Genomic DNA, 22,810 nt, shown 5'->3' with positions numbered 1-22,810 from the left:
TAACCTCCACCTCTCCCAGACTTCAGCAATCCTCTTACCTCAGCCTCCCAAATAGCTGGGACTACAGGTACCACTACCACGCCTGGCTAATTTTTTTATTTTTTATTTTTTTTCCGAGACGGAGTTTTGCACTTGTTGCCCAGGCTGGAGTATAAGGGCGCCATCTCAGCTCATTGCACCCTCTGCCTCCTAGGTTCAGGCGATCGTCCTGCCTCAGCCTCCCAAGTAGCTGGGATTACAGGCATGCGCCACCACGCCCGGCTAATTTTTGCATTTTTAGTAGAGATGGGGTTTCACCATGTTGGTCAGGCTAGTCTCGAACTCCTGAACTCAGGTGATCCACCTGCCCTGGCCTCCCAAAGTGCTGGGATTACAGGCATGAGCCACTATGCCCGGCCCAATTTTTTGATTTTTTTTGTAGAGACAGGGTCTCCCTATGTTGTCCAGGCTGGTCTTGAATTCTTGGGCTCAAGCAATCTTCTCTCCCTGGCCTCCCAAAGTGCTGGGATTATAGGTATGAGCCACCACACCCAGCACCAGGCTCTTTTCAATCCTGTCAACTACACCTGTCCCTGGCCCTGCCTGAGTTCCCATTGCAGAGGAGAAGGTGCTAGTGGGGCAGGGACCTCCTTCCTGTGAGGATGACAGTAGCCACTAACACCCTGGTCCTGTCCCCGTCATCTCCTGCCTGGGCAATGTAGCAGCCTCCTCCTTGTCTCACTGCTCCTGCCCTGCTCCCCCAACAACAGGAGGGAGCCAGTGAAGCCTGGAATCAGATCCAATCCCTCCTCTGCATAGGGCCCTCTCAGGCTCTGTCTCAGAGTAAAAGCCAAGTCCTCACCATGGCCCATCAAGCCCCAAAAACCTTCCCCCATCACTTCCCTGACCTCTCCTCCCACACTCCCTCTCACTCACTCTGCTCCAGCCACAAAGTCCTCTTCATAGTTTCTCACACATGCTGACCTCTTTCCTACCTCTGGGCCATCGTGCTGGCTCTTCCCTCGGCCTGGAAAGCTTTACCTGGCTCTCCTAATAATCCCCACTTTTTATCATTTGAGTCTCTGCTCAAGCCTTTCCAGAGTGACCTTCTCCAACGACCCCCACTAAAACAGTGCCCCCCCCTCCTTTCTAACGTATTACCTCATTTTATTATTTGCATTTATTAATACTACTCTCAGAAATTCTTTCATGCCAGCCTTAGGCAACATAGTGAGACCCTGTCTAATTGAAAGTACACTGGTGTGATGGCTTGAGCCTGTAGTCCCTGCTACTTGGGAGGCTGAGGCAGGAGGATCACTTCAGCCCAGGAGGTCGAGGCTGCAATGAGCTATGATCAAGCCACTGCATTTCAGCCTGGGTGACAGCGCAAGACCCTGTCTCTAAAAAAATAAAATTATTGGCCGGGCGCGGTGGCTCACATCTATAATCCCAGCACTTTGGGAGGCCGAGGCAGGTGGATCACCTGAGGTCAGGAGTTCAAGACCAGCCTGACCAATATGGAGAAACCCCATCTCTACCAAAAATACAAAATTAGCCGGGCGTGGTGGCGCACATCTGTAGTCCCAGCTACTTGGGCAGCTGAGGCAGGAGAATCGCTTGAACCCAGAATGTGTAGGCTGTACTGAGCCGAGATCATGCCACTGTACTCCAGCCTGGGTGACAGAGTGAGACCCTGTCTCAAAAAAAGAAAAAAAAAAAGACTCTGTGATACTGGCATATGAATAGGCATTTAGAGCAATGAATTATTGAGAAATCAATTCATTTAGAATAGAATTGAGTCCAGAAAGAAACCCTTATATTTATATTCAATTGATTTTTGACAAAGGTGCCAAGACAATTCAGCGGGGAAAGAATAATCTCAACAGGCCAGGCATGGTGGCTCACGCCTGTAGTCCCAGCACTTTGGGAGGCCAAGGCAGGTGGATCACCTGAGGTCAGGAGTTCGAGACCAGCCTGGCCAACATGGTGAAACCCTGTCTCTACTAAAATATAAAAATTAGCCAGGCATGGTGGCGCATGCCTGTAATTCCTGCTACTCAGTAGGCTGAGGCAGGAGAATCGCTTGAACCTGGGAGGGGGAGGTTGCAGTGAGCCAAGATCACGCCACTGCACTCCAGCCTGGGTGGCAGAATGAGATTTTGTCTCAAAAAAAAAAAAGAAGAATCTCACCAAACGGCATTGGGACAACTGGATATGCACGTGTAAAAGCTTGGACCTCACACCATATACAAAAATTAACTCAAAATGGATGAAAGACCTAAATGTAAGAGCTAAAACTAAAAATCTCTTGAAGAAAATATGAGTAAGTCTTCATGATCTTTAGTTACGCAAGGCCTTTGTAAATGACACAAAAAACACAAGCAAAAAAAAGAAAAAAATTTATAAACTGGGCTTCACCAAAATTAAAAACTTTAATTCCTGCTACTCAGGAGGCTGAGGCAGGAGAATCGCTTAGAACCCAGGAGGCAGAGACTGCAGTGTGCCGAGATTGCGCCACTGCACTCCAGCCTGGGCGACAGAGTGTTAGGAGAAGCTGAGGCAGGGCTTGCATGTCTGACATAATGTAAAAGAGTCTTGGAACATGTCCGGGGTCCAGGGTCTAAAACCCCTTGTGGCCTTTGGAACACCAAGCTCTGTGCTAAAGGGTGGAAGCCTACCATCATGCACCATAATCTAAGCCAAGGGCATAAAATCCCTCATGGCCTCGATAGAATCCAGGGCTCATGGCTCTGGAATGTGTCTAGACTTGCTTGCTCCTTGCGCTCCCAGGATTGATTGTATCTTGAGTTAAAAGAACCTGCTCTCCATTATCTCAAGCAGCAGAGCAAATGCTAAACCATCACAGCTGTAAATCATGTGCTTAATGCAATGTGCCCTTTTGACCTCCACATTCTCACCACCTGTTTCTTTGTTGGATTACCAATAAATAGCGTGGGCTCCCAGAGCTCGGGGCTTTAGCAGCCTCCATACACTAGCAATGGCCCTCTGGTCCCACTTTACTTCTCTCTCTCAAACTGCCTTTTTCTCAATCCTTTGACTCCGCCGGACTTCGTCGCCACCCCCTCCCCCCGACCTGGTGTTGGGTCTGATCACCCCAACAACAGAGTGAGACTCCATCTCAAAAATTAATTAATTAATTAATAAAAACAAAGACAGGGTCTCACTCTGTCACCCAGGCTGGAGTGTAGTGGCATGATCACAGTTCCCTGCAGCCTCAACCTCCTAGGCTCATTATGATGATCCTGCCTTAGCATTTCTACAGGTGGGAGCCACCATGCCCAGCCAAATTCACCTAGGCTAGTCTTGAGCTTCTGGATGCAAGTGATCCTCCCGTGCTGGTGTGGTGGCGCACAACTAGTCCCAGCTATTCAAGAGGCTGATGCAGAAGGTTCACTTGAGCCCAGGAGGTCAAGGCTGCAATGAGCTGTGATTTCACCATTGCACTCCAGCCTGGGTAACAGAGTGAGACCCTGCCTCAGAAAAATAACAAAAATAACAATGGTGAATTTTATGGTGTGTGAATTATATATATGGTAAACTCCTACTCATAGCTTTAAAAACCTGGAACAAGGCCGGGTGAGGTGGCTCACGCCTGTAATCCCAGCACTCTAGGAGGCCGAGGCGGGCGGATCACGAGGTCAGGAGATCGAGACCATCCTGGCTAACCCGGTGAAACCCCATCTCTACTAAAAATACAAAAAATTAGCCGGGCGTGGTGGCAGGCGCCTGTAGTCCCAGCTACTTGGGAGGCTGAGGCAGGAGAATGGTGTGAACCCAGGAGGCGGAGCTTGCAGTGAGCCGAGATCGCGCCACTGCAATCCAGCCTGGGCGGAGCGAGACTCCGTCTCAAAAACAAAACAAAACAAAAAAAACATGGAACAAAAAAGCTTACTTGAGCACCTACTAGGTGCTTGGTGGGTTACTGGGAACTGTACACAGACAGCCTTCTTGAATCCTTAAAGCCACCAGGGTTGGATGGTGCTACCACATATTGAGATGGGGGCCAGGCACGGTGGCTCACACCTGTAATCCCAGCACTTTGGGAGTCTGAGGCAGGTGGATCACATGAGGTCAGGAGTTTGAGACCAGCCTGGGCAACGTGGTGAAACCCTGTCTCTACCAAATACAAAAATTAGCCGGGCGTGGTGTCACATGCCTGTAGTTCCAGCTACTTGGGAGGCCGAGGCAGGAGCATCGCTTGAACACGGGAGGCGGAGGTTGCAGTGAGCCGAGATCGCGCCACTGCACTCCAGTCTGGGCAACAGCGCAAGACTCCGTCTCAAAAAAATAAAATAAATAAATAAATAAAAATGTTAGAGGTGGGAAAACCAAGGCTCATAGAATGAGCCTATCCGTGCTGCACCCACTCACCTTTTCCTCGCAGGAGTAGTTGATCTTCAGGTAGTAAGGGAAGCCCAGGTATTTCTGCAAAGAGAGGTTAGGCCACACGTCCAGAAATGAGTGGAGTGCGGGTTCAAAATCCCTCTGGTTCACTTGACCCTGGTCCCCTCACCTCGCTCGGGTCGATGGGTGAGTCCACCAGCATGTGAAACAAGCTGCTCACTGTGTCCACGGGCTCTTGCTCAAAGAAGCTGTCGCTCACACCACTCTCGCCTACCCTCTTAAACTCGTTCAGGACAACCTGCCAGGTGCATTCCTGGAAATCCTTGATCGCCCACAGCCTCCACGACGCCAGGAGCACTGCCAGCAGGGCCCACAGCACCTGCACGACTCGGACTCTGGGCCACGGAGGACCGGCAGGGAACATGGCTGGGCCGCACATAACGTGGCTAGAACCTGGAGAACGCAGGAGTCAACACCCACGCGCCGGACAGCTCTCTGGAGCCCACTTTTAAGATTCCACCTCGCTTCTGCGCCTCTCACAGCACTTGCTCCTGGCCACGCCCCGGCTCTTGCTCCTGGCCCCGCCCCTGCACTTGCTCTTGGTCCCGCCCCTGCTCTTGCTCCTGGCCCTGCCCCCGCACGGACTTTTAGCCCCGCCTCTGCTCTTGTTCCTGGCTCCGCCTCTGCACTTGCTCCTGGTCCCGCCCCTGCTCTTGCTCCTGGCCCTGCCCCCGACCCTCGTGGGTATCGCACCTCTGCTATTGCTCCGGGCCCCAGCCCTACTAATGTTTCTGGCCACACCCCTGCTCCTCCGCCTCGTTCCGCCCCGCCGCCTCCACGTCTCTTCCTTTAACTTTATCCTCACCTTGCTCCTTATTCCGCCCCCTCCCTGTATTCCACTCTTGCTCTTCACCTGGTCTTGGTTTCTATTTCTCGCTTTGACAGTCCCCCTCTTAAGTTCCCCCGTACTGCTTCTGCCTGCGATCGCACCCGTGTACTTCCACCCGGCTGTGCCCCAACCTCTTGCCCCACCCTCGCACTTCTCTTGGTATCGCCGCTTTCTCCTCGCTCGGGGTCTGCCCAGGGGCTGGGTACTGTACCTGGTCTCGCCCGTCTCCGGGCCCCGCCCCTGCTCTTGCTCCCGGCCCCGCCCCTGCTCTTGCTCCCGGCCGGGCCCCCGTTTCTCGCCCGGGGCTTGCTCCTCACTCTGCTTCCGCTCCTGACCGCGCCCCTACTCCTCCACTTGGTCTTTATGGACCCGTTCCTTCCCCGGGTTCTCGGCGATTGGTTCTTCCCGCGCGGGCCCGTCGCCCCGTCCCGCCCTCTGGTAACGCCCCTCCTCCTCGCCCTGCCCCTTCTCGATGAAAACTGTCTCTTCGCCTCGGGATCTTTCCTCGCCCTTCGTTGTTTCCTCGCCCCACACCTTCTCCTTCCACGCCGGCACCAGCTTCTTAGCCGGCACCTTCTTGAGTCTCACCTTCCCCTCGTACCGCGACACCTTCTTGCCCCACTTCTTACTCTTCCTTCCCATGCCATTAACACCTGCCTGCTCTATACCCCGACTCTCCTGCCCCGCCCCGCCCTTCGCCCTTCACGTTCGGCTCCCCCTTTCCCTCCTCTGCCAGCTCCCACGACTCTTCCCCTCTTTCCCTCCTCTCCCAGCTCCCACGACTCTTCCCCTCTTTCCCCTGCCTCTCCCCTTCTCGCCTTCCCCTTCCCCTCCCCTTCCTAGTTCCTCCCCGTCCCCGGCATCCCCCCGCCCCTGGATGGCACAGCTTTTTCCCCGGCCCCGTGGTACCAGTCACTTGGTTAAAACCGGTCAACTGTCACTCGGCCGCACCAGTCCCGCCCCTCTTGCCCGGTCTCAAAATGGCCGCCCACACTTCCACAGCCGACTTCCGCCTTTGCAGAGGCACGCCCTCCTCTCACGCGGTCTCCAAGGTGACGCGCAACCCCTAAGGCACCGAGGGCTGGAGGCTGTCTCAGCACTGAGGGCGCGGGGCCTGGTCGGCAGAGGGTGCTGGAGACTACGTTTGTGCCAGGAAGGCCTTCAAGGAGTTTCTATTGGTTGTTCTGGCAGCAAGCACGGTCCCTACTTGTGCTTCCTACCCAAATATATATATATATATATTTTTTTGAGACGGAGTTTCGCTCTTTCTCCCAGGCTGGAGTGTGAAGTGGCGCGATTTCGGCTCACTGAAACCTCCGCGCCCCTGCCCCGGATTCAAGCGATTCTCCTGCCTCAGCCTCCCGAGTAGCTGGGATTATAGGCTCCCGCCACCACGCCTGGCTAATTTATTTTTTGTATTTTTAGTAGAAACGGGGTTTCATCATGTTGGCCAGGCTGGTCTCGACTCCTGACCTCAGGCGAACCACCCGCCTCGGCCTCCCAAAGTGCTGGGATTACAGGCGTGAGCCACTGCGCCCGGCCCTACCCCAAAATTCTACTCCTTAAAAAAGTGTGGTTTCCTGGAGACCTTGTGAGAATGAATAGGCTGCTTAGCACCGTCCTCTACAAAACAGGACAAGGACAGCCATCCTATACTGTTGTGGGAAGTGTGCCCGGCTCAAGTAAAATATTCATTAAGTTAATTTTCATTTGCATTCTGATGCCTTACAGGTAAGGATTCAGGCCATGACTTTTTGATGAACTCCAGACCAGACGTTTAACCCAGTGGTTTTCAAATTTGAGCATGCATTAGACTCACCTAAAAGGCTGGGTAAGCCAGGTTGGTGGGTACCACACCCTGAGTTTTTGTTTTTGTTTTAAAGATGGAGTCTCTGGCTGGGCATAGTGGCTCATGCCTATAATCCCAGCACTTTGGAAAGCTGAGGCAGGCGGATCACTTGAGGTCTGAAGTTGGATACCAGCCTGGCCAACATGATAAAACCTTGTCTCTACCAAAAAATACAACAATTAGCCGGGCATGGCGGCGGGCACCTGTAATCCCAGCTACTCGGGAGGCTGAGGCAGGAGTTGCTTGAACCCAGGAGGCGGAGGTTGCAGTGAGCCGAGATCCCTCCACTGCACTCCAGCCTGGGCGACAGAATGAGACCCTGTCTCAAAAAAAAAAAAAAAAATTAAGCCAGATGTGGTGCTGCACACCTGTAATCCCAGTACTTTGGGAGGCTGAGGTAGGAGGATCGCTTGAGGCCAGCCTGGGCAATATGGTAAGACCCTGTTGCTAACAATTTTTTTAAATTAGCCCAGTGTGGTGGTCCATCCCTGTGACCCCAGCTACCTGGGAGGTTGAGGCAGGAAGACCACTTGAGCCCAGGAGTTTGAGGCTGCAGTGAGCTCTGAAATACACGGAAATGCAGTGAGCTGTGATCACACCACTGCATTTCAGCCTGGGCAAAAGAGCAACACCCTATCTCAGGTTAGCCTTGAATTTCAGGCCTCATGTGAGCCTCCCATCTCAGCCTCCTGAGTAACTACCTGGCTACTTCCAGAATTTTTCATTCAGTAGATCTGGAGTGGGGCCTGATAATTTGTATTTCTGGCAAGTTCCTAGGTGATGCTGATACTAGTGGTCTGGAGACCACACCTTGAGAACCAGTGCTCTAGAACCTTCCATGACCCTCTAGGCCCTCAGGAAAACTTCCAAACCCCTCGGTTTCCAGAGCCCCTCATACTCTCCTCCCTGTCATTCTATCTGGCTCATCTGCCCTCTCCCCCTTAGACCTCTGTGGTCCACAGTCTGGTCACATGGAGCGACTTGAATATCCTTGGTCAGGTGTGAGCCATGCATGCTCCAGACCTGTGCAGACTCAGTAATGCCCTCTGGAATACCATTCCATGCTTTTTAACAGGGCCCACCACTTTCCTTCCTTTAGGTCTTCTCTGTGATACATGACCAGCCCTCATCCTACCTCTTGGCCCCTCTAGGCCACTCATGACTGGAAATGGGTGTTTCTTTTCCACTGGATCACAAGCTCCGTGAGGGCAGGGTGTATGGCTTTCTCTGCCTCTGTTGTCCCCCAGCCCTGCCAGGCACCGCATATAATAGTTGTTTTATGTAAATGAACCGATGATGGTGGTCTATCCTTCCCACCCCAGCCCACCCCCGCAGGCTAGGGAACGGTGACATCTTCTAGGGGAAGAAACTCAGTAGCCATGTACCAGAGCCCTTTTTTTTTTATTTTGTTTTTTTAGAAACGGGGTCTCACTCTCTCACCCAGGCTGGAGTGGAGTGGCGCAATCATTGCTCGCTGCAGCCTCGAACTCCCAGGCTCAAGTGATCTTCCCATGTCAGCCTCCCAAGTAGCTGGAACTGCAGATGCGAGTCATCATATCCAGTTAATTTGTTTTATTTTTACTTTTTTTTTTTTAGAGATGGGGGTTTCTTTTTCATCTTCTTTTTTTCCCTTTTTTTTTTTTTTTTTTTGTTGAGACAAAGTCTCACTCTGTCGCCCAGGCTGGAGTGCAGTGGTGCCATCACAGCTCACTGCAACCTCCACCTCCCCGTTTCAAGCAATTCTCCTGCCTCAGCCTCCTGAGTAGCTGGGATTACAGGCATCTGCCACCGTACCCGACTAATTTTTATATTTTTAGTAGAGACAAAGTTTCACCATGTTGGCCAGGCTGGTCTCGAACTCCTGACCTCAAGCGATCCACCCGCTTCAGCCTCCCAAAGTGCTGGGATTACAGATGTGCTTCATTGCACCCGACCTTTATTCATCTTTTAAAAAAAAAAAAAAATAGAGATGGGGTCTCACCATTTTGACCAGTCTGGTCTAAAACTCCTGGCCTCAAGCAATCCTCCCATCTCGGCCTCCCAAAGTGCTGGAATTACAGACATGAGCCACCATGTCCAGCAGAGATGAGGTCTCACATGATGTCCAAGCTAGTCCCAAACACCTGGGTTCAAGTGATCCTCCTGCCGCAGCCTCCTGACTAGCTGGTGTTCCACCACACCCAGCTAATTTTTAAATTTTTTGTACAGGGAGGGTCTTGCTATGTTGCCCAGGGTGGTCTTGAACTCCTGCCTCATTCGATCCCTTCATTAGATCTTAAACCATAAGATGTTTGCTGTAGCATTGTTGTACCAGCAAAAGACTGGAAAACACCCACGTATCATCAACAGGGGATGTTGAAATTATTTATGGGAAATGTGTCCTAGAGGAGACACCGTAAGATATAAGACCTATTGTGGCCAGGTGTGGTGGCTCACACCTGTAATCCCAGCACTTTGGGAGGCCGAGGCGGGTGGATCACTTGAGATCTGGAGTTCGAGACCAGCTTGGCCAACATGGTGAAACCCTGTCTCTACTAAAAATACAAAAATGAGCCGGGCATAGTGGCAGGTGCCTGTAATCCCAGCTACTCGGGAGGCTGAGGCAGGAGAATTGCTTGAACCCAGGAGGTGGAAGTTGCAGTGAGCTGAGATCGTGCCACTGCACTCCAGCCTGGGCAACAGAGCGAGGCTTAGTCTCAAAAAAGAAAAAAAAAAAAAAAGACCTATTGTATGTCTCTGAAATTATCTCTGAATTACACTGTGTTGGTGACAAAAGCAAGGTACAGAAACATGAATAAAAGAAAGGTGACATTAAAATATTAATATTTATAATTGGTACGAAAAAGCATAGTACAGAAGTGAGAATCATCATTAGTCAACATTTTATTGAGTGCCACACACTGCTAGCTCTAAGGGCTTTAGAGGTATGAAGTTGCTGACTTCTCAAGTCCATGAGGTAGGTGCTATTACCATCCCATTGTACAGACTAGCAAACTGAGGCACATGGAGGTGAAATCACTTGCCCAAAGCCACTTAGCTTGGGAGTGACAGAGTTCAGATTTATACCCAGGAACTTTGCCTCCAGAGTCTGTAATCATAACAACCTCACCATATTAGGTACTACTTGTGTAGAGTGAAAAATAAATGACACACACATGCATATGGCTGGTACATAACATCAAATGTGCCTGGGAAGACCTGAGACATCCATCCATGATCTGAGTGTAGGAGAAAGACTTACTTTCCACCGTACACTCTTTAGTACCTGATGAATTTTTTAGCACACACTTTTTTCTTTTTTTTTTTTTTCTGAGACGGAGTCTCGCTCTGTCTCCCAGGCTGGAGTGCAATGGTGGGATCTCGGCTCACTGCAACCTCCACCTCCTGGGTTCAAGTGATTCTCCTGCCTCAGCCTCCCGAGTAGCTGGGATCACAGGTGCGTGCCACCGCACCCAGCTAATTTTTTTGTATTTTTAGTAGAGACGGGTTTCACTGTGTTAGCCAGGATGGTCTTGATCTCCTGACCTTGTGATCCGCCCGCCTCGGCCTCCCAAAGTACTGGAATTACAGGCGTGAGCCACTGTGCCTGGCCCTTTTTTTTCTCCTAGGACAGGGTCTTGCTCTATGGCCCAGGCTGGAGTCCAGTAGTGTGATCATGGCTCACTGCAGCCTCAACCTCCTAGGCTCAAGTGATCCTCCTGCCTCATCCTCCTGAGTAACTGGGACTACAGGTGTGCGCCACCACACCCAGCTCATTTTTAACATTTTCTGTAGAGGGGTCTTGCTATGTTAACATGTCCAGGCTGGTCTCCAGCTCCCGGGCTCAAGCGATCCTCCTGCCTCAGCCTCCCCAAGTGTTGGGATTACAGGCATGAGCCGCTGAGCCTGGCTTTTTTAATGTCTTGGACCAAAAAGGACTTGCTTTTCTTCCTGGAGGTATTTGGAAGGAGAAACAGTGAGAAATGAACGCCAGCTCACATAGGCACCTAGCTGCCCCGAGATGACTTTAGCTCAAAGTCAGCTGTGACATAGGTAAGGAACCGAGAAGGTTGGGAGGCTGAGAAAGGGCTAGACAACAGATATTTCTGAGCTCCCATAGGAAAAGATGCCCAACCAAAACCTTGTTCAAATCCCAGTGTTCCACTTTCTGTGTGACCTTGGGCAAGTATTTAACATCTCTGGACCTCCTTCCCCCATCTGTAAAATGTAGAGAATGTATCAGGGGCTTGGAATCGTGCCTGGCACATAGTATATCCAATATACATATTTTCTTTTTCTTTTTCTTTTTCTTTTCTTTTTTTTTTTTTGAGACAGGGTCTTGCTCTGTCACCCAAGCTGGAGTACAGTGATGCAATCACAGCTCACTGCAGCCTTGACCTCCCAGGCTCAAGTGATCCTCCCACTTCAGCCTCCTGAGTAGCTGGGACCACAGGTGCACACCACCAAACCCAGCTAATTTTTGTATTTTTTGTATTTTATGTTGCTGAGGCTGGTCTTGAACCCCTGGGCTCAGGCAATCCTCCTGCCTCGGCCTCCCAAAGTACTACGATTTGCTAGGATTATAGGTGAGAGCCACTATGCCCAGCCCCTATGACTTTTTTTTTTTTTTTGAGACAGAGTCTCTGTTTCGCCCAGGCTGGAGTACAGTGGTGTGATCTCGGCCCACTGCAGCCGCCACCTCCCAGGTTCAAGCAATTCTGTCTCAGCCTCCCAAGTAGCTGGGACTACAGGCATGTGCCACCACACCCAGCTAATTTTTGTATTTTTAGTAGAGACGGGGTTTCACCATGTTGGCCAGGCTGGTCTTGAACTCCTGACCTCAGGTGATCCACCTGCCTCGGCCTCACAAAGTGCTGGGATTACAGGCGTGAGCCACCTGGCCTGCCCCCTATGACCTCTTGATACACCCCTGGGTGTCCCTTTTGCCCCACACACCCACCATATTCTAAAGCAGCCTCAGCGTCTCCGCTAAAACCTGCTCTTTCTCTCAGGGATAACTGGCCACTCTGTGGGACATTCCCTAGCCGCGTCCCTCCAGTCTGTGGGGGCTATGGCCTGTCCACTTGGCTCCTGAGTGTGCCCGCACTCACCCCTCCTCCCTTCCATGGCTCAGCCCAGGCCCATCGTCTCCCTCTTCATTCCTGCCTCAGCCTCCCACAGGCACCCAGCCTCAGTACCCGCTCTGCTCCACCTCTCCAGAGCAACTAGGGGGATCATCCTAAAACCCAAACCTAACCATGACCCACTCCTACTCTAAACCCTTCCATGGCTCTCTAGGGCCCTCAGGAAAGAGACCAGGTTCCCATGCTGGTCATTTAAGGACACTAACGGGTGCTCGTGCGCACCCCTCTGCCCTCCTTCCCTCTTTCCCTGCATACCGTTCATACTAAACTGCTTGTCAGAAGCTGGTGGCCAGCATGCTTTTCCATCTCCAGGCCTTTGCACACAGCTCCTCCCACCTGGTATGCCCTCTCCATGCCTTTTCTACTTGTCTACTGTTGGGACCCAGCTCAAATGCCCCAGCCCTTTTTAAAATTTTTATTTTTGTAGAGATGGGGTCTTGCTATGTTGGCCAGGCTTGTCTCAAACTCCTAGCCTCAAGTGATCTTCCCACCTTGGCCTTCCCAAGGTGCTGGGATTACAGGACTGAGCCACTGTGCCCCGCTTCTTTCCTTCTTTTCTTTTCTTTCTTTCTTTTTTTTTTTTGAGACGGAGTCTTGCTGTCACCCAGGTTGGATGCAGTGGCGCGATCTCGGCTCATTGCAGGCTCCGCCCCCACCGGGGTTCACGCCATTCTCCTGCCTCAGCCTCCCGAGTAGCTGGGACTACAGGCGCCTGCCACCTCGCCTGGCTAATTTTTTGTATTTTTAGTAGAGACAGGGTTTCACCGTGTTAGCCAGGACTTACTTTCTTTCTTTTTCTTTTTTTCTTTCTTACTTTTCTTTCTTTTTCTTTTTTCTTTCTTACTTTTCTTTCTTTTTCTTTCTCTCTCTCTCTCTTTCTCTTTCTTTTTCCTTCCTTCCTTCCATCTTTCCCTTTCTTTCTTTCTTTCTTTCTCTCTCTTTCTTTCTTTCTTTCTCTCTTTCTTTCAGACAGGGTCTCACTCTGTCCCGCAGGCTGGAGTGCAGCAGTGCCATCATAACTCACTGCAGCCTCAAACTCCTGGCCTCAAGTGATCCTTCCACCTCAGCCTCTGAAGTAGCCAGGATCACAGGCATGCACCACCACACCCAGCTAATTTTTAGATTTTGTGGTTGTTGTTGAGATAAGGCCTCACTGTGTTGCCTAGGCTAGTCTCAAACTCCTGGCCTCAAGCGATCCTCCTTCCTCAGCCTTCCAAAGTGCTGGGTGTATAGGCGTGAGCCACCACACTCAGCCTGAAATCCTTTTGAAGTTGTATTATGATGATCACCATTTTACAGATAAGGAAACAAAATCAGAGAGGTAGTGTGACTGCCCAAGGACACAGGCCAGACGTGGCTAAGTTGGGATTTGAGCTCAACCAGGCTGATTCCAGGGCACAACATACAAATGTGGACAGCTCTTACAATGGTGTCATGGTTAAGGGCAGCACCTCCCATGCCATTCAGATCTGGGCTGGGGTCCTATGTCTGTTTCCTGCCTGCCAGGCTGCTGAGGAAGAGTCTATCGCCCAGGCCTACACCAGGGGTCCCTCCATGGGTCCTGCTCCCTGGAGACACCTGAGAAAAATGAGTCAGGTACAACTTCTTCCTGCCTATTTCTCATAGTTCAGGTCTTAGTTCGATGTCCCTTCCTCTAGGAAGTCCTCCCTGACTTTCCAGGCTGGATTGGGCCTAGTCCCTATGCTTCTCCGACTTCAGCCCTGACCACTCTGCCTGTGCTTTCAACACCTCACCTCCTCCATTAAAGTCCTGACCATTTTGGGCCATCACTGTCTGGGGACAGGTCTGTCCACCTCACTGGACTGCAAGCTCCATAAGGGCAGTTCTCCACCCCCAACTATGTCTCCAGCACTGTCTAGCACAGGGCCAGCACACAGGAGGGGTTTAGGGGCAAATTCTTCTATTCTTCCCATTTGGCAGCTGAGGAAATCAAGGCTCAGAGACGGGCAGTCACTTGTCCAGGGTGTAGCGACCAATCTGGTGCCTGAAATGAGGTCTGAGCCCACAGCCCAGTAGAATCAGCAGTTGACGAGTGGTTAATTGAGAGACACAGACGGAACATGAAAGAGAATGAGAAACAGAGACAGCAAGAGGGAAAGACAGAGGCAGCGAGAATGCCAGAGAGCCAGAGAGACACAGTGTAAAGAGGATGAGAGAAAGGACAGAGAACAAGGTTATGTTGGTGCCCAGTGGAGCCCGGGACATGGGGACAGGGAGTGCTGCCCTTCACATCCCAGCCAGATGCTGGGAAACAAAGGAGAGACGGTGGACGGCAAGGCCTCAAGATCACCTGCTGTGCTCGTGGACATTCCTGTACAGCCAGCTCTGGTCGCCTGGACCCCTCAGTCCCAGGCCAGGCACACCCAAGCCTGGCAGAGGCTGCCCCAGCTACCTGGGGATGGAAGCGTAGTCGGTGTGGGAGCTGGCAGAGAGTTGCTGGTGCGACTCCGGCTGGGGGCCCAGGATGTCCACCCGATCGTCCTCATCCGCATTGAAACTGGCAGGGCACGGAGGGGGCAGCAGGATGAGCTCCGTGAGGCCGTGGAGGTCGGACACGTGGCGGAAGGTCTGCAGCACCAGCACCATGGCCACCAGGCCCAGGAAGAGGTAGACTGTAAAGGCGGAGAAGGGGCGTTGGTCATCCTGGGGCTCAGATTTTCCAGGCGGGGCCGCAGTTCTACTGGACCCTGCAGGGTGGGGTTGGATCCCTTTTGGAAGTCCCAGAGTGGGACTGTGAGCCTTTAACTCCCCCAGGGACAGGGCTAGGTCCTCCTCAAAGCCCTGCCCTAGCCACCCAGCTCACCTGTGACCAGCACCTTGTAGAGGGCCCGGTAGGGCTGGCCAGGGGCCTCCCCGGGCACGTAGTCGCCCAGGCCGATGGTGGACAGAGAGATAAAGCAGAAGTAGAAGGCATCCAAGAAGCTCCAGGCCTCCTCGAGGTGGGCAAAGATCACAGCCGGCACCAGAAAGCAGACGGTCACTACGACCCCCAACAGGGCCACCAAGTGCCAGCAGGCCGCCCGCCGGGGGTCCCAGCCCCAACGCATGCTCAGCCAAGACAGGGGCACGTGAGTCAGCAGCAGTGACAGGCGCTGGGCTGAGGCGGTCAGCAGCAGCATGGTGGTCGGCACGCCCAGGAGCGCAAAGGCGATGGAGAAGGCCTTGCCCGCATCAGTCAGTGGCGTTGTGTACCCATAGCCTAGGGGAGTAAAGAGAGTAAAGGGTAAATCTTTTTCTTTTTAGAGATGGGGGTCACTCTGTCACCCGGGCTGGAGTGCAGCGGTGCCATCATAGCTTACTGCAGTCTTGAACTCCTGGACCTAAGTGATCCTACCACCTCAGCCTCCTCCTAAGTAGCTGGGACTACAGGCATGTCCAGCACGCCCCGTTGATTTTAAATTTTTTTGTAGAGATGGGGTCCTACTATGTTGCCCAGGCTAGTCTCGAGCTCCTGGACTCTAGTGATCCTCCCACCTTTGCCTTCCAAGGTGTTGGAGTTACAGATCTGATCCCCAGGACCCAGCCAGGGAAAACCCTCCTGCCCACTCAACACCTGCAGCGAGAGGTCTGCGGACACCCACACCTACACATGGCTTCATCCCAAACCTGCCTCTCCCCACATCCCCTCCTGTCCCAGGTGATGGCACCTCTGTCCTTCGACGCTCAGGCCAAGAGCCTTGCCTTCATCCCTGACGCCCTCGTCACTCATGCCGCACTCCATCTGTCAGTGAAGCCTATTATCTCAACTTTCAAATAGGCCCAAAACCCACTTACTTCTCCCCCACCCAGTCCCATGGCCCCCACCCTGGTCCTGTCCACCACAGCAGCCTCCTCCTGGGTCTCCCTTCCCCATCCCCAGCCCCTACAATCTGTTCAGCCAGCAGAGCCTGCCAACACCTGAGTTCAGTCATGCCCCTTCCCTGCACAGAGCCCCTCTGTGGCCCCACCTCACTCAGGTAAAAGGAAAGAGTCCTCATCATGACCCATGAAGCCCCACAGGGTCCACCAGGGCAGCACGCTCCCACCCCAGGGCCATTGCACTGGTTGTTCCTTCCCCAAAGAATGCTCCCCTCTCTCCTCTCCAGGTCTTCTTCATCCAAATGTCACCTTCTCAGTGAGGCTTTCCCTTGAGCACCCTAAATGGTAACATCCTCTTACCCAACACTTTTTTTTCCCATAGCACTTAACACCTTCTAGCATGCTCTATGGTTTACCGTCTTCTCATAGGCTGCCAGTTCAGCAAAGCAGGAGGTTCTGCGTGTTTCATCACTGCTGTGGGCGCTCGATCAGTACTTCTCAAAACAAAGAATGAAGGGTGCAGGCTCTTGCCTGGCTCTGAGCCTCAGCTTGCCCTATTCTAAAATGGGCGAGACAATGGGCCAGGCGTGGTGGCTCAGGTCTGTAATCCCAGCACTTTGGGAGGCCTAGGCGGGCAGATTATGAGGTCAGGAGTTCAAGACTAGCCTGACCAATATGGTGAAACCCCGTCTCTACTAAAAATGCAAAAATTAGCCGGGCATGGTGGCTCACGCCTATAGTCCCAGCTACTCAGCAGGCTGAGGCAGAAGAATCACTTGAACCTGGGAGGTGGAGGTTGCAGTGAGCCAAGATTGTGCTACTGCATTCCAGCCTGGGTGACAGAGCAAGAATCCGTCTCAAAAAAAAAAAAAAGTTTTAGAGATGGATGGTGGAGAGTGATTTGAGTTGAGCAATAACTCCATCTCCCACATGGCATGGCCAGCCTCGTATCTATTAAAAAAAAAAAAGATGAAGGTGATGATGGTAACAATATGAATGTATTTAATGTCACAGAACTGTACCCTTAAAAATGACTAAGATGGTACATTTTATGTTATGTGTATTTTACTATAATAAAAAACTTGGGAAAAGAAATGATCCCAGCCAGGCATGGTGGTTCACACCTGTAACCCCAGCCCTCTAGGAGGCTAAGGTGGGAGGATCACTTGAGCCCAGGAATTTGAGACCAGCCTGGGTAACATAGGAAGACCCTATCTCTACTTTAAAAAATAATAACAATAATAATAATTTTAAAAGGCTCCCCCTGGGTTTTAGCTGGATACATGGCCTTTTGGAATCAGGACGTTCCCTCCTCCCTTGCAGAGCCAGGTGTGGTTCTGTGACTAATCTCTGGCCAATGAGGTATTCATGAAAGAGTCAGGCAACTTCCAGGAAGGGTCCTTAAGGAGCGAGGGATGCCAGTCTCCCTTCTTTCCTCCCTCCTCTTGCTGGCTGGAGCACAGACATGGAGGCTGGAGCTACACAGCCATCTTGGACCATTAGGCGACCTTGGGAATGGAAGTTGCGCAGAGGAGTTAGGCAGGAACACCAGGGTTTTGCTGAGAAGGAGCCTAGGTCTCTGACCATGCAGTACGACTTGGACTGACTACCTGGAATGTGAACAAGAAATACACTTCTTATTTAAGCAACTGTAATTTGAGGTGTATCACTTATGACCCCCAACCCTCATTAATACAAGGGTTTTTGATGGGGAAACTCCAGCAGCCTGGCAGGTTTGCAAATGACATGAAATCCTTATAAACAGGCTGGGTGAGGTGGCTCATTCCTATAATCCCAGCACTTTGGGAGGCCAAAGTGGGAGGATTACTTGAGCCCAGGAGTTTGACACCAGCCTGGGTAACATAGCAAGACCCTATCTCTGTAAAAAAAAATAATAATAATAAAAGAGATCTTTATAAATAGACAAATCATAGAGTTTGAAAAGCATGGGGCCTGTGAGCCTCAAGTTACTATTTCAAAGAGAAGAGTCCAAAACAGTGTTTTGCCATTTACTCCCTGCATGACTTTGGCCAGATGACTTCTCCCCTCTGAGGCTCAGTTCCCTCTCTGCAAAAATGGGCTCGTAAGCAATCCCTTCCTGGCCAGGCAAGGTGGCTCACACCTGTAATTCCAGCACTTTGGGAGGCCAAGGCAGGAGAACCGCTTGAGCCTAGGAGTAGTTTGAGACCAGCCTGAGCAACATAGGGAGACCACCTTCTACAAAAAATAAAAAATAAAAAAATTAGCTGGGTGCAGTGGCGTGCACGTGTGGTTCCAACTACTCAGGAGGCTGAGGTGGGAGGATCACTTAAGCCCAGGAGGTCAAGGCTGCGCCACTGCACTCTAGCCTGGGTGACAGAGCAAGACCCTGTCTGAAAAACAAAAAACAATCCCTTCCTCAAATGTGGTAGTAATCCTACTAGGCTGGGATAGGGCATAGTGCCTAGCAAGAGCGTGGAAAGAGTTACAAGGATTGTAATGCTCACTTCCTCTCTCCGATTCCCAGTTCCGGGTAGGACTACCCGCTTCCTCCTGCCTCAAGTGCAGCAAGGCTGCCCAGATCAATTCCAGGGCCAAGATTTGGGCCTATGACCAAACGAGGGGCATTGTGGGAAGAGGTCTCTCTGAATCACGTTTAATTGGTTTTCCACTTCTCCAGATGCATTCAAGGCTTCACCCACTATGAAAACAGTCAACATTAACTCAATAAACATCAGTTATTACCAGCGCTTCGCACGGACAAAGACTCCCTCCTTGACCGCACTTCAGTCTGACTCCTGAGTCCTTAAGTAGGCCCAGTTTTAGCAAGAATCCTACAAGCCACCCACCCCGATATCTGATCAAATTCCTCATCCACCACTCTTTTTTGTTTGTTTGTTTTGAGACAGAGTCTTGCTCTAACGCCCAGCCTGGAGTGCAGGGGCGAGATCTCGGCTCACTGCAACCTCCGCCTCCCAGGTTCAAGTGATCCTCCTGCCTCAGCCTCCCAAGTAGCTGGGATTACAGCCACGCACTATCATGCCTGGCTAATTTTTGTATTTTTAGTAGAGATGGGGTTTCGTCATGTTGGCCAGGCTGGTCTCGAACTCCTAACCTCAGGTGATCCGCCCGCCTCAGCCTCCCAAAGTGCTGGGATTCCAGGCGTGAGCCAACTTGCCCGGCCTGTTTTTTGTTTTTTTGAGATGGAGTCTCACTCTGTTGCCCTGGCTGGAGTGCAGTGGCACAATCTCAGCTTATTGCAACCTCTGCCTCCCAGGTTCAAGTGATTCTCCTGCCTCAGCCTCCCGAGTAGCTGGAATTACAGGTGCCTGCCACAATGCTCGGTTGATTTTTGTATTTTTAGTAGACGGGGTTTCACCATGTTGGTCAGGCTGGTCTCGAACTCCTAACCTCAGGTGATCTGCCCACCTCGGCCCTCCAAAGTGCTGGGATTATAGGCGTAAGCCACTGCGCCTGGCCCTCATCCACCCCCTCTCAATATCTAAGTCCTTGGCCTGTCTTTAGCAAGAATCTTGTTAAGCTGAGTTTAGCAAGAATCCCCCTACCCGAATGTCTCTCCTCTTAGTATTCTTCCATCCACTGACTCCCTTATTCTACTTGTTAGCCATAAAACTCCAGCTGTGTTTGCTATATTCACAGTTGAGTTCAGTCTCTCTGGCCTTTGCAATGGTCTCTCCTCTACCACAATAACTTTCCATTTTTAACAAGTGTTAGCATATTTTTTTCTTTTACAACACACACAGCACCCTTCTTCTAAGTAGTGTGGTGTGTTGGCTAGCAGCATGGGACTCTAGAGCCTGATGGCCTTGACTAAATCTCTACTCTATGCCGTCTTTGCTGTGTGACCTTAGGAAAGTTACCCAACTTCTCTAGGCTTCGGTTTCCATGGCTAAAAATATACAGCCTATAAAGGCGCCTGCCTCACAAGGCTGTTGTGATGATTAAGTGAGTTAAAGCATGCATTGGCAAGTCCTCTGTCAGGCTACTGCTATTACAGGGAAATGGGGAGTGTTATTATCTCCATTTTAGCAATGGGGGAGGACACTGAGGCCTGGCAATGAGCCGCGGCTGAGCAGGGATGTAGCCAGGCTGTGCCTGACGTGTGTCTGGCTTCCCTCATCTGCCCTGCCAGGGATGACTTCTTAGAAGCCAGGATCTGGGAAGAGGTAGGAGGCGTGCACATGACCCAGGGAAGCTCAGAAGCAGGTCAGGCCGCCCTGGCAGCATGGGCAGACCCAGGGGAGGTCAGCTAACGAGAAGTCACCCAGCTCTGCTGCCAGGGGACCAAAAGCAAAAGCTGCCCCCTATTGTTGGCCGGGAGGGCGAGTTAGGAGTCTGGGCTAACCCTGCACCAGCCTCCTCTCCTCAACAAATCCCCAACAAAGAAACAAAGAGGAAGTCTGGGAGCTGAGAAGGGGCTGGGGGAGCAGCAGAGCCTGGCAACAAAGAGATTTCCCAAGTCTGGCTTCTCAGGGTTTCCCAAAACTCGGGGTCCCTCCACGGTGGGTCCTTTTGACACATCCCTAGCTGGGGCTGCTGAATTGGGAGTCCCAGGTCCAGAGGGAACAGGTGGTGTCCCTATTGGGAGGAAAATCCTGCATTGAGAGTGACCCCATATAGGGGAGATGTCAAGATGGGGTGGGGTACCTAGGGAAGGGTTTTGTGTCTGGGGTCAGAGTTGCCTGCTGGGGAGTATGGGGCCAGGAGACAGATGACAGTCTGGAGCAGAGGCCCAGGTCCAGAGGGCCAGGAGTCCCAGATGGCGGTGCCAGGTCCTTGCTGAGGAATCTCTGTTGGGAGGGAGGTCTTTAGTGAGGACACCCTGAGAGGTCTGGAGATTTAGGGTCCTCGCTAAGGCGCCAGGGTCAGGAGGAGGTTGAGATGGGGTTTCTCCAGGGGGGTTTCCCAGAAGGACATATCTGGAGGGTCAGGAGACATGGCAAGGGTGGCAGGCCCAGACTAGAGATAAAGTCAGGGGTCCTGGCATGGTTGAGTTCTGGGTCCAGAGGGGGCAAGGATCTCCCTTGGAGGGTGGCGTGTCCTGGGTCCTTGCTGGAGGTCTCTGAGGACAGTCCTAGGCTTAGAGGGGGCTGGACAGACCCGGGTCACCAAGAGGATTAAGACCGGGGAATGCAGTCCCAGTGCAGTGGCTCAAGCCTGTAATGCCAGCAATTTGGGAGGGCGAGGCGGGCTGATCACCTGAAGTCAGGAGTTTGGGACCAGCCTGGCCAACATGGTGAAACTCCGTCTCCACTGAAAATACAAAAATTAGCCAGGCATGGTGGTATGTGCCTGTAATCCCAGCTACTCGGCAGGCTGAAGCAGGAGAATAGCTTGAAACCGGGAGGCGGAGGCTGCCGTGATCCGAGATCGTGCCACTGCACTCCAGCCTGGGCGACAGAGTAAGCCCTGTCTCAAAAAAAGAAAAAGAAAAGAAAAAAAAAAAAGACCGAGGAACGGGGTCCCAGCTGGTCTCTGCAAAGGTACTCTGAGGGGAGCTGGGTGTTTCCTACTTAGGAGGAAGGGCTCGGACTTGGGCTCCCCGAGCAGAGCAGATATCATGAGCCTGGGTCCCGGGTCCTCACTGGGGTCTTTTCGGGGGATCCGAAGCCCAGAGGGGATTGGGATAAGGGTATTCGTGAGGGCCCCGGGGTCCCCAGGGGTTAAGGATGAAGTGGGGATCCCGGGTCCTCGCCGCCTTGCGGTGAGGCGCTTACGTACCCACGGTGGTGATCAGCGTGCTGGCGAAGAAGAGAGCAGAGGCGAAGTCCCAGGCGGGGTCCGAGGCGTTGGCGGACCCCGAAGCGTTAGCAAGCACGACCCGCCCCAGCCGTCCGGCCGCCAGCACTCGCTCCACGAAGGCGTCCAGGGCGGGGGCAGCCACACACGGGCTGCGCTGAAGCAGCTGCGCCCGCAGCGTCTCCAGCTCGGCTCGGAGCCTGGCTTCGTGCGGCCCCTCCAGCCGCGCCACCAACAGCGCGCCCAGCACCAGGTACGCGGCGTACGCGGCCAAGGCGCCCGCCAGAAGCGCGCCCCTCCGCATGGCACCCACCGGGACCCCGCGAGCCCTGGGTGGCCCCGCTGACGTGGCCCCCGCCTCCGGACCGTCTGGCACCTAGTTCCAGTTCCGGGAGTGCTACAGGCGCGGCAGCAGATGCCCCAAGAGGAAGAGGAAAAAGGGGAGGTGGGGGGCGGCGACGGAGGAATGCCCCGCCTCCGGGAAACTGAGGCACGCCCAACCGCCAGGTGTTCGTTCGGAGAGGGTGGAGCCCAGTGCTCCCAGACCCAGCAGACCAACGGGATGGAAAGGGTGGAGGTAGTCCTCTCTTCCCCTCATTCCTTCCTTCTCGTCCTCCTGGAAGGCTGGTTCTCTATGTTAGAAGAATCTGAACTTTCCTCTCTGCTCGCAGGCCGAGGAGTCGCCCCCCATCGCGCACAGCAGCTAAGGTTGTGCACTGCATCAGGGCGCGCGGCTGACGGAGCAAGGGGCAAACTGAAATCCAATTCTCGCTCCATTCGCCAAGTTGTGAGCCTCGGAGTGGGAACAGCGGACACCACAGAGTCAGGTGTCCCCTGTGCCCGTGTGGACAGAGTGGGGATCCTCAGCTACTCACCAAAGCTTTGTTCAATGCCCACTTTCTGCTGACCCCTCGCTGGATGATCCTGGAGACTCAGTAATGATGAGACCATCCTGCGCCATGCATTCATGGGGCTCCCAGTCTAACTGGGAGACTGACACAAGAGTGACCCACGCCTGTTGTCCCAGCTACTCGGGAGGCTGAGGTC

At 52.6% G+C, this 22,810-nt stretch overlaps 3 protein-coding genes across 5 annotated transcripts in view, besides 7 other annotated features; 1 reads left to right on the top strand and 2 right to left on the bottom strand.

The window, feature by feature from the left end:
* The window catches only part of CATSPERG (catsper channel auxiliary subunit gamma), a 35,114-nt gene extending 28,926 nt beyond the window's left edge, over positions 1–6,188 (bottom strand). For both annotated transcript variants that reach the window (NM_021185.5, NM_001330496.2), the window contains exons 1-3: positions 6,143–6,188; positions 4,514–4,797; positions 4,372–4,425 (exon numbers count right to left, since the gene is read on the bottom strand). In NM_021185.5, coding sequence (NP_067008.3) covers positions 4,372–4,425; positions 4,514–4,783 — 324 coding nt within the window. In that variant the 5' untranslated portion in view covers positions 4,784–4,797; positions 6,143–6,188. The remainder of the gene's footprint in view (positions 1–4,371; positions 4,426–4,513; positions 4,798–6,142) is intronic.
* Positions 5,401–5,570: a silencer, noted in NCBI's record as "silent region_10569". NCBI's record gives its function as "represses an Ori minimal core promoter by ATAC-STARR-seq in GM12878 lymphoblastoid cells {active_cell/tissue: GM12878}" and the evidence as "EXISTENCE:reporter gene assay evidence [ECO:0000049][PMID:35858748]".
* Positions 5,941–6,020: a silencer, noted in NCBI's record as "silent region_10568". NCBI's record gives its function as "represses an Ori minimal core promoter by ATAC-STARR-seq in GM12878 lymphoblastoid cells {active_cell/tissue: GM12878}" and the evidence as "EXISTENCE:reporter gene assay evidence [ECO:0000049][PMID:35858748]".
* Positions 6,141–6,350: an enhancer, noted in NCBI's record as "active region_14570". NCBI's record gives its function as "activates an Ori minimal core promoter by ATAC-STARR-seq in GM12878 lymphoblastoid cells {active_cell/tissue: GM12878}" and the evidence as "EXISTENCE:reporter gene assay evidence [ECO:0000049][PMID:35858748]".
* Positions 6,141–6,449: a biological region, named in NCBI's record as "Sharpr-MPRA regulatory region 11361".
* Positions 6,155–6,449: an enhancer, noted in NCBI's record as "tiled region #11361; HepG2 Activating DNase matched - State 12:CtcfO, and K562 Activating DNase unmatched - State 1:Tss". NCBI's record gives its function as "activates a minimal TATA promoter and a strong SV40 promoter by Sharpr-MPRA in HepG2 and K562 cells {active_cell/tissue: HepG2 | K562}" and the evidence as "EXISTENCE:reporter gene assay evidence [ECO:0000049][PMID:27701403]".
* Positions 9,942–22,173, bottom strand: KCNK6 (potassium two pore domain channel subfamily K member 6). Of its 2 annotated transcripts, none has more exons than NM_004823.3 (3): positions 21,746–22,173; positions 15,030–15,425; positions 9,942–14,838 (listed from the first exon to the last, which is right to left on the bottom strand). In NM_004823.3, the coding sequence occupies exons 1-3, from the start codon at positions 22,065–22,067 to the stop codon at positions 14,615–14,617; spliced, it is 942 nt and encodes a 313-aa protein (NP_004814.1). In that variant the 5' UTR covers positions 22,068–22,173; the 3' UTR covers positions 9,942–14,614. The 2 variants fall into 2 exon arrangements, with proteins under 2 accessions (NP_004814.1, XP_047295682.1); XM_047439726.1 differs by lacking the exon at positions 21,746–22,173 and adding an exon at positions 16,441–16,975.
* The window catches only part of YIF1B (Yip1 interacting factor homolog B, membrane trafficking protein), an 18,330-nt gene continuing 15,650 nt past the window's right edge, over positions 20,131–22,810 (top strand). Inside the window, exon 1 of the mRNA XM_047439648.1 lies at positions 20,131–20,190. The gene's annotated coding sequence lies outside the window, so the exon portion shown is untranslated. The remainder of the gene's footprint in view (positions 20,191–22,810) is intronic.
* Positions 21,722–22,345: an enhancer, noted in NCBI's record as "H3K4me1 hESC enhancer chr19:38810313-38810936 (GRCh37/hg19 assembly coordinates)". NCBI's record gives its function as "activates a minimal SCP1, AML or CMV promoter by ChIP-STARR-seq in naive H9 embryonic stem cells {active_cell/tissue: H9 hESC(naive)}" and the evidence as "EXISTENCE:reporter gene assay evidence [ECO:0000049][PMID:30033119]".
* Positions 21,991–22,080: a silencer, noted in NCBI's record as "silent region_10567". NCBI's record gives its function as "represses an Ori minimal core promoter by ATAC-STARR-seq in GM12878 lymphoblastoid cells {active_cell/tissue: GM12878}" and the evidence as "EXISTENCE:reporter gene assay evidence [ECO:0000049][PMID:35858748]".

This window comes from Homo sapiens, chromosome 19 (assembly GCF_000001405.40).
Source record: "Homo sapiens chromosome 19, GRCh38.p14 Primary Assembly".
NCBI classification, from domain to species: domain Eukaryota; kingdom Metazoa; phylum Chordata; class Mammalia; order Primates; family Hominidae; genus Homo; species Homo sapiens.
This window is presented reverse-complemented; position numbering and strand designations above follow the sequence as displayed.